The sequence below is a fragment of the Homo sapiens genome, chromosome 6 (genome assembly GCF_000001405.40).
Source record: "Homo sapiens chromosome 6, GRCh38.p14 Primary Assembly".
Taxonomy (NCBI): Eukaryota; Metazoa; Chordata; class Mammalia; order Primates; family Hominidae; genus Homo; species Homo sapiens.
The window spans coordinates 43,400,975-43,417,272 of NC_000006.12; the positions used below are offsets into that span (position 1 = coordinate 43,400,975).

A 16,298-nucleotide genomic window follows, 5' to 3' on the forward strand; every position below is an offset into this window, starting at 1 on the left:
TCTTCCTTTTCCTGCCCTCTAGATTTGGCCAACTGCAGTAGACATTTCTTTTTTGGGAGATAGGGGTGGAGGCTGCTCAGCCCATGAGAATTTCCCACTTTAAGAATCTTATAGGCCAGGCGTGGTGGCTCACGCCTGTAACCCCAGCACTTTGGGAGACCGAGGCATGTGGATCACCTGAGGTCAGGAGTTTGAGACAAGCCTGGCCAACATGGCGAAACCCTGTCTCTACTAAATATACAAAACATTAGCTGCTCATGGTGGCGGGTGCCTGTAATCCCAGCTACTTCCGGGAGGCTGAGGCAGGAGAATCGCTTGAACCCAGGAGGCAGAGGTTGCAGTGAGCCGAGATCATGCCATTGCACTCCAGCCTGGGCAACAAGAGTGAAACTCCGTCTCAAAAAAAAAAAAAAAAAAAGAAAAGAAAAAGACAAAAAGAATTGTATATAGGCCAGGCACGGTGGCTCACGCCTGTAATCCCAGCACTTTGGGATACCTAGGTGGGGGGATCACTTAAGGCCAGGAGTTCAAGACCAGATGGGCCAACATGGTGAAACCCCATCTCTACTAAAAATACAAAAAATTAGCCGGGCGGGGTAACACGCGCCTGTAATCCCAAGTGTTTAGGAGGCTGAGGCTGAGACACGAAAGTCACTTGAACCCAGGAGGCAGAGATTGCAATGAGCCAAGATCACACCACTGCACTCCAGCCTGGGTGACAGATCGAGACTCTGTCTCAAAAACACAAACAAACAAAAAAGACCCCAAGAATCTTATATGAAGCAGATCCTACTTATCACTAGAGATGCTGAAAACACCAGATCCGTGCTTTCCCAGCCTCCTTTGCGGCCAGAGCTGGCACTGTCCTAGGCTGGGCCAGTCAGATGCAGCTATCCTAGCCTTGACTCTGGAGTTACTAACGAAAATAAGCAGAGTTAAGGGAAGGGTGTTCCTGGTGACAGCAACTTCCAATTTTCATGCAGCTCTAGCAGCAGTGCCAAGCTCAGGTCCCTGGCCTGATGGTGTCAGTGATGTGAGATGTGGCATATAGTGGACAGCAGACTCTTCACCAAACACTATCTTTTGGAGTAGTTTTGGCTGTGGTTATATCTGTTTAGGCTCTGAGCCTGGTTCTCCAGGTTTCCCAGTGTTTCTGTGAACTGCTCTGTAGCTTAAATTATTCAGAATCTATTTCCGTTGCTTGCAACTGAGAACTAGCAAATACAGCATTTCAGAAAGCTGTCCTCAGTTCTCTTTCCCTATACCACCTAAAATCACACCAATCTCTATATTTTCTAAACTTGTATTGCATTATTAAAGAATCCATGCAAGTTAGTGCATTATCATTTACTATCTCATACTTTTTCATTTTCATATGTTTATTTATAGTCCCTCTTATATCTATAAATGATGTCTCTCCAACAATACCACGAATCATGAAAGAAATTAAAATGTCATATCGGGCGGGGTGCGGTGGCTCACACCTGTAATACCAGCATTTTGGGAGGCCAAAGCGGGCAGATCATTTGAGGTCAGGAGTTCGAGACCAGCCTGGACAACATGGTGAAACCCTGTCTCTACTAAAAATACAAAAAATGAGCTGGGCCTAGTGGCAGGCACCTGTAATTCCAGCTGCTTGGGGAGGCTGAGGCAGAAGAATCACTTGAACCTGGGAGGCGGAGGTTGCAGTGAGCCGAGATAGCGCCACTGCACTCCAGCCTGGGCAACAGAGGGCAACTCTGTCTCAAAAAAGAAAAAAAAAGTCATATCAAATATATGTTTAAAATCATGAGAAACTCAAGGCATACTTTTAAAAAACCCCAAAAAGATGCTTTTTGGTATCACAGTATTTAATATTTATTTTTTCCTTCATCAATTTTTTTCAATATTTTGATGCCTACTGAGTGCCAAGTACTGCAAAATTGATGAGGATAGAGACGAATAAGACATGTCTCTGATTTTTCAGAAACTTTGCTCTGGTGGAGGAAACAAACATGGACACATTGTGAGAGTTCCAGGAAGTGGCCACTTGGAGGTGGTATCAAAGTGCTGTGGGAATCCACTTGGGATTGCTGGGTATGTCACTGTCAAGGGGAGGGAGCTGAGTTTCAGCTTGATCCTTCAAGACAGGCACTCAAGTGTGGAAAGGGATGGGCCATGGGCATGTTTCCATAGGACCAGAGATAGACCTAGGTTCAAATCCTGACTCAAACTACTTATTAGCTTTATGATAATGAGAAAGTTACTTACACTCTCTGAGCTTCAGTTTCCTTATCTGTGAAATGGAGATGATAACATTTACATATATTGCTAGTTTATTGTGAATACTTTAAAAGAAGTAATTGTATTAGTCCATTTTTTGCTGCTGTGAATACATACACGAGACTGGGTAATTTATAAAGGAAAGAGGTTTAATTGACTCAATTCAGCATGGCTGGGGAGGTCTCAGGAAACTTACTATCATGGCAGAAAGGGAAGCAAACGTGTCCTTCTTCACATGGCAGCAGGGAGAAGAAGAATGAGTGAAAAGGGAAAAGCCCCTTTTAAAACCATCATATCTCGTGAGAACTCACTATCATGAGAACAGCATGGAGGTAACTACCCCCACGATTCAATTACCTCCCACTGGGTCCCTCCCACGACAGGTGGGGATTATGGAAACTACAAGATGAGATTTGGGTGGGGATACAGCCAAACCATATCAATAATATATAAAGAATCAAGCCCTCCATAAATAGTTATTAGTAGTACTATTATTGTTCCAGGTCCCATCCTCCAGGAAACCTTTCTTGATTGCTCTCAATGATCTCTCTCCTCTGAATTCCAGGAAAAGCCATTGCGCTGATTGCTTGGCTTTATTACACAGTGCTTTGTACTATTGATATTGTGAGTTTGAATCTCAGTTCATAAACTTATACATGCCCAAAACATCTAATTTCTTCATATTCTGGAAATCAAATTAACTTCAACCTTTAGTCTCTATCCCATCAAAATGGCTGTCAATTCAACTTAGGGGGACTTCCCTGAATTGTGCCAACGTTCTGCGACTCCTGCAGTGATATGGCATTAGAGGAGCCTCCTAGTCTACTGTCCATCCAGGTTACCATTTAATGCCCCAGCCCTCATCACCTTGATTCGTGTCTCTGCTTCATAGCCTGCCATGCCTAGGGAATCTTTGAGGCTGGGAGAATAAGGTTAAGGATGCAGCATCTCTGGGGTCTGACATGGCCATTCACCCTGGAGTCCAGCCACATCACTGGTGTTTTTTCATCTGAAAAATGGTATAATAATAATAGTAAGAGTTATTAAGCAACTAATATATTCCAGGCAATTTGCTAGATCTTTTGAATACGTTGTCTCATTTAATCTTCCCACCCACTCTGTGAAAGAGACTCTGTTATTACTTTCAGGAACTTTGCTCTGGTGGAGGAGACAAACATGGACACATTGTGATAGTACCAGGAGCTGGCCACTTGGAGGTGGGATCTATTATTAACCACATTTAGGACTCTTCAAGCTCAAAAACTTGCCCAAGATCACATAGTTACAGAGTAGCAGAGGCAAGATTTTAATCGTTGTCTCCAAAGTTTGGTTGGTTAACCACCATGCTCTATACCCAGTTTGCAGGGTAGTTCTAAAGATTAGAGCTAATGTGTGAAAGTGCCAAGAACAGTATTGGACACATAATAGGCACTCAATTAGGTACAGATATTGTTGTTATTTTTCAAAAGTGGTATTTCTAGCTGCTGCTATGAGCTTGCCCAGTTTCCCACTGCAGGGCTGTTGGGAGAATAGGTGGGAACAAGGAAGCTTTTTATAGGTTGGCCCAGTTTCCCCTATTAATGAGTCCATTTATTCATTCATTCAACAAATAATTTATTGAGTAATTACTATGTGTCAGGCACTGTTCTATGCACTGGGAAAATGACAATGAGCAAAAATAATAAAATCCCTGCTCTCATGGAACTTATAGCCTAGCGGAGGAGGGGACAGACACTAAACAAATAAAAAGTAGATAGATGATGTCTCAAATGGTAATATGCATTTTGAAAAAATTAATCTGATAGGGGGTTAGAGAGTGATAGATGGAGATATACATCTATTTATATAAGGCGGACAGGGAAGACCTCTCTGATAAAGTGAACTTTGGGCAGAGACCTGAAGGAAGTGAGGAATTGAACCATGCAGATATCTGGGGATGTGGGTGACAGGCAGAGAGAAAGATTCTGAGGTGGCACAGACCCTTGGTATGTTTGAAGAGCAGTGGAAGCCTAGGGAATGAGTATAAACAGAAAAAAAGTGGGTTGGTGTCTTAGATCAGAATCCCTAGAAGCAGAACTGAGATAGGGATTCGAGTGTATGTGATCTTTGAGGGAGTGCTGTCAGGAGAAAACGAGTGAGGGAAACAGAATAGGACAGGAGAAAGAGCTAGGCAAAGATATGGTCTTTAGTTTGATCCTGTGAGAACTCTGGAGCATGAATTATTCCACAAAGCTGGTTCTACCAAGGCAAGGAATTGGCCTTTTTTACTTGACCTCGTTTAGTCATTAGTCATTAGTCATTAGTCATTAGTCAATGACAGGTCTGCGGGGCAGTGGAGAGCAGTAGTTAATCTCTCAGGCAAAGCAGATCCACTTTGTGGAGAGCAATTCTCCAGAGGAGAAGGAAATGATGACCCATTAGTAGCCAACACTCACAGGAGCTGAGGAATGGGTACAACTAGCCCTGTAAAGGAGATCTAAGTAGGACAACAGCATCCATTACAGATGGGAAATGAACCCTAAGAGGCTCTAACACTTTGAGGTTGAGAGGATAAAGAGAAAGAAAACTGAGAAGCAACCAATGAGGTAGGAAGAGAACCAAGAATATGTGGTATCCAGAAAGTCAAGAAATAAAATTATATCAAGAATGATGGAGTATTGAGGAAAGAGAGGGGGAAGGGAGCAATTAACTGAGTCATATAATCACTCTGTTAGCCTCCAAGATGGCCCCCCAATGACTCTTGCTTCATGGTACACATGTCCCCATGTAATCTCTTTCTACTTTGAATCAGACTAACTTGTGTAACCAGTAAGATATTCCGAAAATAATGGAGTGCAACTTATGAGACCAGATCATAAAAGATATTTCAACTTCTGCTTTGTTCTCTTTGAAATCCCTTCTCCCAGAGGAGAAGCCAGTTGCCATATTGTGAGGATGCTCAAGCAACCTTATGAAGAGGTCTACATGGTGAAGAACTAAGGCCTACTATCAAAAACAAACACTAATTTGCCAGACATGTGAGTGAGTATATTGGAAGTGGATCCTCCAACCTTCTAAGACTTGACATGACTACAACCCCTGCCAACACCTTGAATGAAACTTCATAAGAGAACCTAATCCAGAATCACATAGCTAAGCTATTCCTGGATTTCTGACCCATAGAAACTATGAGATAATTGCTTCTTGTTTCGAGTCACTAAATTTGAGGGTAATTGTTACATAGCAACAGATAACCAATACAATGATAAGTGAAGAGTAAGGCCTGAGAAATGACCGTTTAATTTAATATGAAAGTCACTGACTACTTTGAAAAGAGCAGTTTCAGCAGAGCGATGTGGGCAAAAGCCTAATTAAAATGTGCTCACAGATAATGAGAGAAGAGAAAGTGGAGACAGATAACTGACCATTCTTTCCATAAGTTTTGCTGTAGGCCGGGCGCTGTGGCTCATGCCTGTAATCCCAGCACTTTGGGAGGCCGAGGCGGGCATATCACCTGAGGTCAGGAGTTTGAGACCAGCCTAGTCAACATGGTGAAACCCCGTCTCTACTAAAAATACAAAAATTAGCCAGGCATGGTGGTGCATGCCTGTAATCCCAGCTACCAGGAGACTGAGGCAGGAGAATCGCTTGAACCCAAGAGGCAGAGGTTGCAGTGAGCCAAGATTGTACCACTGCACTCCAGCCTGGGCAACAGAGCGACTCCATCTCAAAAAAAAATTTTTTTTTTTTGCTCTAAAGAGAAGCAGAGACTTGGGACAGTAGCTGAAGGGGGAAGGGCATTGAGAAAGTTTTTTGCTTTTGTTTTACTTTTAAAATGGAAGACAAGGTCGGGTGCGGTGGCTCACACCTATAATCTTAGCACTTTGGGAGGCCAAGGCAGGCGGATCCCTTGAGCCCAGGAGTTCAAGACCAGCCTGGGCATGGAGAAACCCCATCTCTACAAAAAAATACAAAAGTTAGCCAGGCTTGGTGGTGTGCACCTGTAGTCCCGGCTACTCAGGAGGCTAAATTGGGAGGATCGCTTGAACTTGGGAGGTTGAGGCTTCCGTGAGCCGAGATCATGCCACTGCACTCCAGCCTGGGTGACAAAGTAAGACCCTGTCTCAAAAAAAAAAAAAGATGGAAGATAGTATAGCCTGACATATATGCTGATGGGAATGAGCCGAGAGAGAGACAAATTTCAGATAAAGGGATGAATGGCTGCCAAGCCTAATGTCCTTGAGTAGTTGAGAGAAGAGATCTAGTAGCCAAGTCAAAGAGTTGACCTTGGGAGCACAGACTGTTCAAGGAGGGCAGGGAGAATGTGTAAGCATAGATACTATCAGTGGGTAGATGTGCCTGAATCTTCTCTGAAGGTTAGGAAGCCATGTCATCAGTAGAGAAGGAGAAGGGCAGAAGGTGTAGGAGGTTGGAGAAGATGTGGAACAGTCATTCAGGACAGCAGGCTGAGGTATAAGGCAACTTTCCAAGAAGTTTACAGCCTGGATTTTTTTTTTTTTTTTAGACGGAATCTTTCTTTGTTGCCCAGGCTGGAGTGCAGTGGCATGATCTTGGCTCACTGCAACCTCCACCTCCCAGGTTCAAGCAATTCTCCTGCCTCAGCCTCCCAAGTAGCTGGGACTACAGGTGCGCACCACCATGCCTGACTAATTTTTGTATTTTTTTAGTAAAGACGGGGCTTTACCATGTTGGCCAGGCTGGTCTTGAACTCCTGACCTTGTGATCCACCTACCTTGGCCTCCCAAAGTGCTGGGATTACAGGCGTGAGCCACCGTGCCCGGCCCAGCCTGGATATTTTTAAGAAAATAAGTAACCAAATACTCAGTTTCCATGTGCTCCTTTCTCAAAATTGTTCTATTTTCCTAAAATAGAAATGCCACCTACCCTTCCTCAGTTGCCCTTCTTCTACTTTACAGAAGTCACATTTCCCAGGCAGCCCAAATCTTACCATACTAAGCCAGTATAAGAGGGTGTTCATGCTTCCTAACTCTGGAGCCAGACTGTGTCGAATTGCATCTATTCAGTTCTGCTATTGACCAGCTGTGGTAGCCAGTCTCCACGATGGTTTCCAATGTCCTTGCCTCTGGATATTCACACCTTTGAGTTGTCCCCTACCTCACTGAATCACAGCTAGTCTGTGTCATTAATGTGTGACTTCTCAGGCTAGAACATAAAGGGCATTTCAGCCCTCACCTTGCTGTCTTGGATTGCTTACTATTGAGTAACCTAACCACCATGTCATAAAGACACTCAAGCAGCCCTTATGGAGAGGCTCATATAGAAGAGAACTAAGACTTTCCACTAACAACCAACACTCACTTACCCAGCATGTGACTGAGCCACCTTAGAAATAGATCCTTCAGTGCGGGGCATGGTGGCTCACACCTGTAAACTCAGCACCTTGGGAAGCCGGGGCGGGCAGATCACTTGAGTCCAGGAATTCAAGACAAACCTGGGCAACATGGTGAAACCCCATCTCTACAAAATACAAAAATTAACCGGGTGTGGTGGCTCATCCCTGCAATCCCAGCACTTGGGGAGGCTGGGAGGATCACCTGAGCACAGAGGTTCAAGACCAGCCTGGGAAACATAGGGAGATGCCATCTCTACCAAAAAAAAAAAAAAAAAAAAAATTTAGCCAGGCATGATGGCATACACCTGTGGTCCTAGCTACTTGGGAGACTGAGGTAGGAGGATCACTTTGAGCCCAGGAGGTCAAGGCTGCAAGTGAGCCGTGATTGCACCACTGCACTCCAGTTTGGGTGACAGAGCAAGACCTTGTCTCAAATAATAATAATAATAATAACAAAGAAAAAAATACAAGCTACAAACTAAAAGAAAATATTTGCAAGAAAATACCTGATATCCACATATCAGATCAAAGACTGTTATGTAGAATATATAAAGAACTCTTGGCCAGGCATGGTGCTCATTCCTATAATCCCAGCACATTAGAAGGCCGAGGTGGATGGATTACCTGAGGCCAGGAGTTCGAGACCAGCCTGGCCAACACGGTAAAACCCTATCTCTAATAAATATATAAAAATTAGCCGGGCTTGGTGGCACATGCCTGTGGTCCCAGCCACTCGGGAGGCTGAGGCAGGAGGATCACTTGAACTTGGGAGGCAGAAGTTGCAGTGAGGTGAGATCACGCCACTGAACTCCAACCTGGGTGACAGAGCAAGACTCCATCTCAAAACAAAAACAAAACTCAACAGTAATAAAAAAACAAACATCTCCATTAGAAAATGGGCAAAAACTATGAAGAGACATTTCATCAAAAAGAGTATGTAGATGGCACATAAGCACACTGGGTGTGGTGGGTCATGCCTGTAATCCCAGCACTTTGGGAGCCCGAGGCCGGCAGATCATGAGGTCAGGAGATCAAGACCATCCTGACCAACGTAGTGAAACCCCGTCATGCCTGCCTGTAGTCCCAGCTACTAAAGAGGCTGACGCAGGGGAATCGCTTGAACCCAGGAGGCAGAGGCTGCAGTGAGCAGAGGTGGCACCACTGTACTCCAGCCTCAGTGACAGAGCAAGGCTATCTCAAAAAAAGAAAAAAGAAAAGACGTTCAATATCACTAGTCACAGGAAAATGCAAATGAAGATTACCATGAGATAGCACTCCACACCTAGTAGAACAGCTATAATAAAAAAGCTATGATAATACCAAATGCCAGTGATGATGTGGAGAAACAGTATCTCTCATACATTGCTGGTGGGAAAGTAAAATAGAACAGCCACTTTGCAAGACAGTTAGGCAGTTTCTTTTTTAAAAAAAGTAGACATTTACCATACAACACAGCAGTTGCACTCCTGGATATTTACCCCAGAAAAATGAAAATTTGCATCCACCCAAAAACAAACACATGAATGTTCACAGCAGCTTAATTTGTGCTAGCCAAAAACTGAAAACAATCAAGAAGTCTCTCAATAGGTGGACGGTAAAACAAACTGGTACATCCATATCATGTATTACTCAGCAATAAAAAGGAAAAAACTATTGGCATACACAACAACTTAGATGGATCTCAGAGTCATTATTCTGAGTTAAAAAAAAGCCAACTTCAGGCTGGGTGCAGTGGCTCACACCTGTAATCCCAGCACTTTGGGAGGCTAAGGCAGGCGGATCACTTGAGGTCAGGAGTTTGAGACCAGCCTGGGCAACATGGTGAAACCCTGTCACTACTAAAAATACAAAAGTTAGCCAGGCATGGTGGCATGCGCCTGTAATCCCAGCTACTCAGGAGGCTGAGGCAGGAGAATCGCTTGAACCTGGGGGTCAGAGGTTGCAGTGAGCTGAGATTGAGCCACTGTACTCCAGCCTGGGTAACAGAGCCACTGTACTCCAGCTTGGATAAAAGAGCAAGACTCTGTCTCAAAAAGAAAGAAAAAAAAAAGCCAACTTCAAAATGTCACATGATTCTATTTAAAAACATTTTCAAAATAACCAAATTACAGAGATGGAAACAAATTAGGAGTTGCCAGGGGTTAGATACTTTTTGAAAGTAAGTAAACAATTCAATTCATAATAACATTGAATAGAATAAAATACTTGGGAATAAATTTAACAAAAGAAAAACTCTGAAAACTATAAAAACATTGTCAAAAGAAAGTAAAGATCTAAATAAAGGGAGAATATACCATGTCCATGGATTAGAAGACCTAACACTGTTGTGATGGCAATACTCCCCATACTGATCAGGTTTAAAGCAGTCCCTGTCAGGACACATACACACCATGGAATACTATGCAGCCATAAAAAAGAATGAGTTCATGTCTTTTGCAGGGACATGGATGAAGCTGGAAACCATCATTCTCATCAAACTAACACAGGAACAGAAAACCAAACACCACATGTTCTCACTCGTAAGTGGGAGTTGAACAATGAGAACATATAGGCACAGAGAGAGGAACATCACACACCAGGGCCTGTTGGGGGGTGAGGGGCAAGGGGAGGGATAGCATTAGGAGAAATACCTAATGTAGATTATGGGTTGATGGGTGCAGCAAACCACCATGGCACATGTATACCTATGTAACAAACCTGCATGTTCTGCACATGTATCCCAGAACTTAAAGTATAATAAAAATTTTTTTAAAAATTAGATAAATTGGACTTCATCAAAATTAACAGCTTTTGTGTCTCAAAGGACACTATGAAGAATGTGAAAGAAGAATGTGAAGGGCCAGGTGCAGTGGCTCACACCTGTAATCCCAGCATTTTGGGGGCCCAAGGCAGGCAGATTGCTTGAGGTCAGGAATTCAAGACCAGCCTGGGCAACATGGCAAAACCCCATCTCTACTAAAAATACAAAAATTCACCAGGTGTGGTGGTGGGCACCTGTAATCCCAACTACTTGGGAGGCTGAGGCAGGAGAATCGCTTGAACCAGGGAGTTGGAGGTTGCAGCAAGCCAAGATCGTGCCACTACACTACAGCCTGAGTGACAGAGTGAGACTCTGGTCTCAAAAAAAAAAAAAAAAAGGAATGTGAAAAGACTGGATGTGGTGCTCATGCCTATAATCTCAACATTTAGGAAGGCCAAGGTGAGAGGATTGCTTGAGCCCAGGAGTTCAAGACCCACCTGGGTAATATGGCAAAGGCCTGTCTCTACAAAAATAAAAAAATTAGCCAGGCATGGCATGGTGGCACATACCTGTGGTCCCAGCAACTTGGGAGGCTGAAGCAGGAGGATTGCTTGAGCCCAGAAGGTCAAGGCTGCAGTGAGCCATGTTCATACCACCACAGTCCAGCTTGAGTGACAGAGAGACACTCATGTGAAAAGACAAACCACAGAATGGGAGAAAATATCTGCAAATCATATATGTGATAAGACACTTGGATTTAGAATATAAAAATAACTCTTACAACTCAATAATAAAGAGACAGCCTAATTAAAAAAAAAAAGGCAAGGGATCCGAATGAGCATTTCTCCAAGATATACAAATGGCCAATAAGTGGATGAAAAGATGGTAGACATCATTACCCATCAGGGAAATGCAAATCCAAATCACAGTGAGATACCATTACACATCCTAGGATGGCCAGAATTAAAAAGTCGGAAAATAAAAGTGCTGGTGAAGATGTGGAGAAATTGGAACTCTCACACACTACTGGTAGAAATGTAAAATGGTGTGGCTGCTTTGGGAAACAGTCTGGCAGTTCTTCAAATGATTAAACATGGAATTAACATATGGTCTAAAACTTCAACTCATAGGTATATACCCAAGGAAACTGAAAACATATGCCCACACAAGACTTATACATGAATATTTGTAATAATGATGGCAGCGGTGGCTCCAGATGGCTGGCCACTGCCAAGATGCCAGCTGCAGCAGGGAGGCCTGGGCCCCCCACTCCATGGAGCAGGCAGGAGCCCCACCCTCCCAGGGTGCCAATGCAGCAGCCCAACCCCAGCTGTGGACCCAGGCATCTCTGTGCTCTTGGGGGCCTGGAAGGCCCCCCTCCTCCCTGCAGGCTCAGAAGTGCCTGCTGCTGCTGCCTGCCCTCTCCCCGCTTCCAGCACCAGCTCCGATCATGGAGCAAGGGTGGGGCTGAGCCTGGATGCTGTGGCAGCCCTGCCGGGTGGGTGCACACTCAGGACGCACTGACATGCCAGCCCCCTGCTGCCTCGTCCCCCTCCAGACTTTGGGCACCAATGAGCACAGGAGGGAAGCTGAGGGGGTGCTGAGGGCAGCTCAGTGCTGGCCTGCAGATGCCCGTTGGCACAAGTAACCTGAGTGCCATGGATGTTGGTGGCAGGAGGCAATGGCTCCTGGGCAGAAGAGGGCAGTCCCGGTGAAGCCCCACCTTCAAGCTAAGGAAGTCCTGTGACCTGGGGGCCAGGCTACCAGTCCTGCCTACAGGAGGGGGAACTCATAGTGCTTTTTCCTGGGCCCCTACATGGCTGCCCATGGACCAGTCAGTATGCACTTCCCCACTCAAGCCCATAAACACCCTGGACTCAGCAGAGCAGAGCAGACACCCAGGTGACCAGCAGCAGAGAGGAGCTTCCCACTCCAGGGATGACCTGCCTGCAGAGAGGAGCAACTCACTCCAGGGCCTCTCTGCTAAGAACTGCAGAGATGAGGGGACAACCAGGAGCAGAGAGGAGCCACCAACACCAGTGCCTCGTCCTCTCTGCTGAGGGCTGAACACTCATCGGAACACCTTGGCTGCAGAAAGGGGCTACCCATAGCAGACCTCTGAGCTGTTCTACTGCTCGATAAAGCTCCTCTTCATCTTGCTTACCCTCCACTTGTCTGCATGCCTCCACCCTCCACTCGTCTGCATGCCTCATTCTTCCTGGTGGCAAGACAAGAACTCGGGACCCATCAAATGGCAAGCCCTGTAACACGAACAGGGCTGAAACATGCCCCTTACTCGCCACTTTGCAGGCGGAGAAGAGAAGAGCTGCAGCCCTTCAGGGAGCCCAGACCTGGGACCTCCCCAAGCCAGGGCTGTGACTCCCTCTTTGAGGCCCTGTGGTTCCTGGTGTCTCCAAGCTTCCAGGTGCCACTGCATTCCCGGTGCTAGCCAGGGAAGCTGCTTGCAGTCCACTTGGTCCAGCTGCAGCCTCACAGAGAGCTGCCACCTGTGCCAGCACTTGGAGCTGCCTGCCCCCCTGCAGCAGCCAGCATGCCTGACTGTGTACAGTGGCTGGACCCTGTGCTTTCTTGCCCACACACCCCTTGCCATTCCATGCCTGGCTCACCCTTGTCAGGCAAGGGATCCAGACAGGTAGCATAAGTCAAGCACAGCCTGCCAGCCTGAGTGGGTAGAAGGAGCTGAGTGGGCCCGAGTCACACAAAGGCACCACTGGCCCTAGAGGTTTCTGGCCAGAAAAGTGACACCTCAAAGATCCCATAACAATAGCATTATTCAGCTGGGCAGGGTGGCTCACGCCTGTAATCCCAGCACTTTGGGAGGCCGAGATGGGAGGATCACAAGGTCAGGAGATCGAGACCATCCTGGCTAACACGGTGAAACACCGTCTCTACTAAAAATACAAAAAAATAGCTGGGCGTGGTGGTGGGTGCCTATAGTCCTAGCTACTCGGGAGGCTAAGACAGGAGAATGGTGTGAACCCAGGAGGCGGAGCTTGCAGTGAGCTGAGATTGCACCACCGCACTCCAGCCTGGGTGAAAGTGTGAGACTCCGTCTCAAAAAAAAAAAAAAGATAAATAAATAACATACCATTATTCATTTGGGCTAAAAGATGGAAACAACCCAAATGTCAGTTAATAGAGGAATGGGTAAACAAAATGTATATTCATCCATCACCATCTATAAACAAATGTTTATCCAGAAAATGGAATATTATTTAGCTATAAAAACAAAGTCTGACATGTGCCACAACATGGATGAACCCTGAAATAGGCCAGTTATAAGAGGACAAATGTTGTGTGATTCCACTTATGAGGTACCTGGAGCAGTCAAAGTTATAGAGACAGAAAATAGAGTGGTGGTTGCCAGGAGCTAGAGAGAGGGAACGGGTAGTTGTTGTTCAATGTGTACAGAGTTTCAGTTTGGGAAGATGAAAAAAGTACTGGATCTAGTTTGTCCCTGGATCTAAGAAAAAAGAAGAAACAGTACTGAAGATGAACGGTGATAATGGTTGTGCAGTATTCCAAATATACTTAGTGCAACAGAACTGTATGCTGAAATGATTAAAGTGGTGATGTTACGTATATTTTACCTCACACCCAAAAAAAATGAATGAGGTACTGATGCATGCTACAACATGGGTGAACTCCAAAAACATTATTCTAAGTGAAAGAAGCCAGAGCAAAAGACTACATATTGTATGATTCTATACATATGAAATGTCATCTTTAGAAAAGAGATGCAGATGACAAGCTGGCCAGGCCTAATTCCAGCCTTAAGACTAGCATTGGCCAGGTGCAGTGGCTCATGCCTGTAATCCCAGCACTCTGGGAGGCTGAGACGGGCGGACCACCTGAGGTCAGGAGCTCGAGACCAGTCTGGTCAACATGACGAAACCTTGTCTCTACTAAAAATACATAAATTAGCTGGGTGTGGTGGTGGGTGTCTGTAATCCCTGCTACTCGGGAGGCTGAGGCAGGAGAATCACCTAAACCCAGGAGGTGAAAGTTGCAGTGAGCCGAGATCGCGCCACTGCACTCCAAGCCTGGGCGACAGAGTCAGACTCTGTCTCAAAAAAAAAAAAAAAAAAAAGACTAATATCATTGCAGGTGACGTCACAAATGGTGACCGAGATGCCACTACCCACCCACTATAATGGGTATAATAAAAACTCAAACAATAGGTGTCAGTGAGGATATAAAGAAATTGGAACCTGTATACATTGCTGGTGGGATTTTATTTTATTTTATTTGTGAGACAAGGTCTCACTCTGTCGCCCAGGTTGGAGTGCAATGGTGCCATCATAGCTCACTGCAGCCTTGAACTCCTGGGCTGAAGCAATTCTCTTGCCTCAGCATCTTGAGTAGCTGGGACTACAAGTGTGCACCACCACGCCTGGCCATATATGTGTGTGTGTGTGTGTGTGTGTGTGTGTATGTATTGATTACTGTATATATAAATATATATGTATTTTATTTATCTATCTATCTATATATTGTTTTGTTTTGTTTTGTAGAGACCAGGTCTTGCTTTGTTGCCCAGGCTGGTCTTGAACTTCTGAGCTCAAGCAATCCTCCTGCCTCAGCCTCCCAAAGTTCTGGGATTAAAGGCATAAGCCACCATGCCCAGCTGCTGCTGGGATTTCAAAATGCTGCTGTCACTTTGCAAAACAGTTTGGTAGCTCTTCAAAATGTTAAAATTGGAGTTACCATGTGGCCCAGCAATTGCACTCCTAGCTGCAAAAAAAAAAAAAAAAAAAAAAGAAAGAAATCCTATATCCACAAAAACCTTGTACCTGAATAACTTATAGCAACATTATTCATAATAACTAAAAAGTAGAAACATGAATGTTCATCAACTGATAAATGGAAAATCAAGTGCAGTATATCTGTACAAAGAAATACTATTCAGTGTTAAAATGAAGTACTGACACATGCCACAACATGGATGAACCTTGAAAACATGCTAAGTGAACAAAGCCAGATGCAAAAGGACACACGTGTATGATTCCATTTACATGAAATGTTCAGTATAGGCAAGAAAATCTATAGATACAGAAAAGTGTATTCATGGTTGCCAAGCACTGCGGCAGGTGGGTTGAAACGGGGACTAATTGCTAATAGGTATGGAGATTTTTTAGGGAGTGATGAAAATCTTCTCAAATTAATTATGGGCTGGGCTTGGTAGCTCAGGCCTGTAATCCCAGCACTTTGAGAGGCCAAGGCAGGCAGATCATCTGAGGTCAAGAGTTCGAGGGCCAGGTGCGGTGGCTCACGCCTGTAACCCCAGCACTTTGGGAGGCTGAGACAGGCGGATCACGAGGTCAGGAGATCGAGACTATCCTGGTTAACACGGTGAAACCCCGTCTCTACTAAAAATACAAAAAATTATCTGGACGTGGTGGCAGGCACCTGTAGTCCCAGCTACTTGGGAGGCTGAGGCAGGAGAAAGGCGTGAACCCGGGAGGCGGAGCTTGCAGTGAGCAGAGATCGCGCCACTGCACTCCAGCCTGGGCGACAGAGCGAGATTCCGTCTCAAAAAAAAAAAAAGAGTTCGAGACCAGTCTGGCCAACATGGCGAAACACCATCTCTACCAAAAAAAAAAAAAAAAAAAAATTAGCTGGGCATGGTGGTGTGCGCCTGTAGTCCTAGCTACTCAGGAGGCTGAGTCAGGAGAATCACTTGAACCCGGGAGGTGGCAGCTGCAGTGAGTCAAGATCACACCACTGCACTCCAGACTGGGCAACAATAAGACTCTATCTTAAAAAAATATGTATATGATGACGGTTGCATAAATCTGAATGTACTAAAAAGTCACTGAATTTTACACTTTAAAGGGGTAAATTCTATGGTTTGTGAATTATATCTCAATGAAGATGTTCAAAAAATGGTGACCTGGCCGAGTGGCAGTGGACTTGCCCAGC

General features: G+C 45.1%; 1 long non-coding RNA gene across 7 annotated transcripts in view, besides 1 other annotated feature; it reads left to right on the forward strand.

Moving 5' to 3' along the window:
• LOC105375065 (uncharacterized) overlaps positions 1–16,298 on the forward strand; it is a 34,842-nt gene that overhangs the window by 9,802 nt on the left and 8,742 nt on the right. For 2 of the 7 annotated variants that reach the window (XR_007059585.1, XR_007059584.1), the window contains exons 3-4: positions 1,967–2,076; positions 5,169–5,279. This is a non-coding gene — a long non-coding RNA (uncharacterized LOC105375065). Of the gene's footprint in view, positions 1–1,966; positions 5,522–16,298 lie in introns of those variants that run through there. The other 5 variants (XR_002956348.2, XR_926814.3, XR_001744123.2 and 2 more) reach the window with 5 other exon arrangements.
• Positions 11,891–12,390: an enhancer, noted in NCBI's record as "H3K4me1 hESC enhancer chr6:43380603-43381102 (GRCh37/hg19 assembly coordinates)". NCBI's record gives its function as "activates a minimal SCP1, AML or CMV promoter by ChIP-STARR-seq in naive H9 embryonic stem cells {active_cell/tissue: H9 hESC(naive)}" and the evidence as "EXISTENCE:reporter gene assay evidence [ECO:0000049][PMID:30033119]".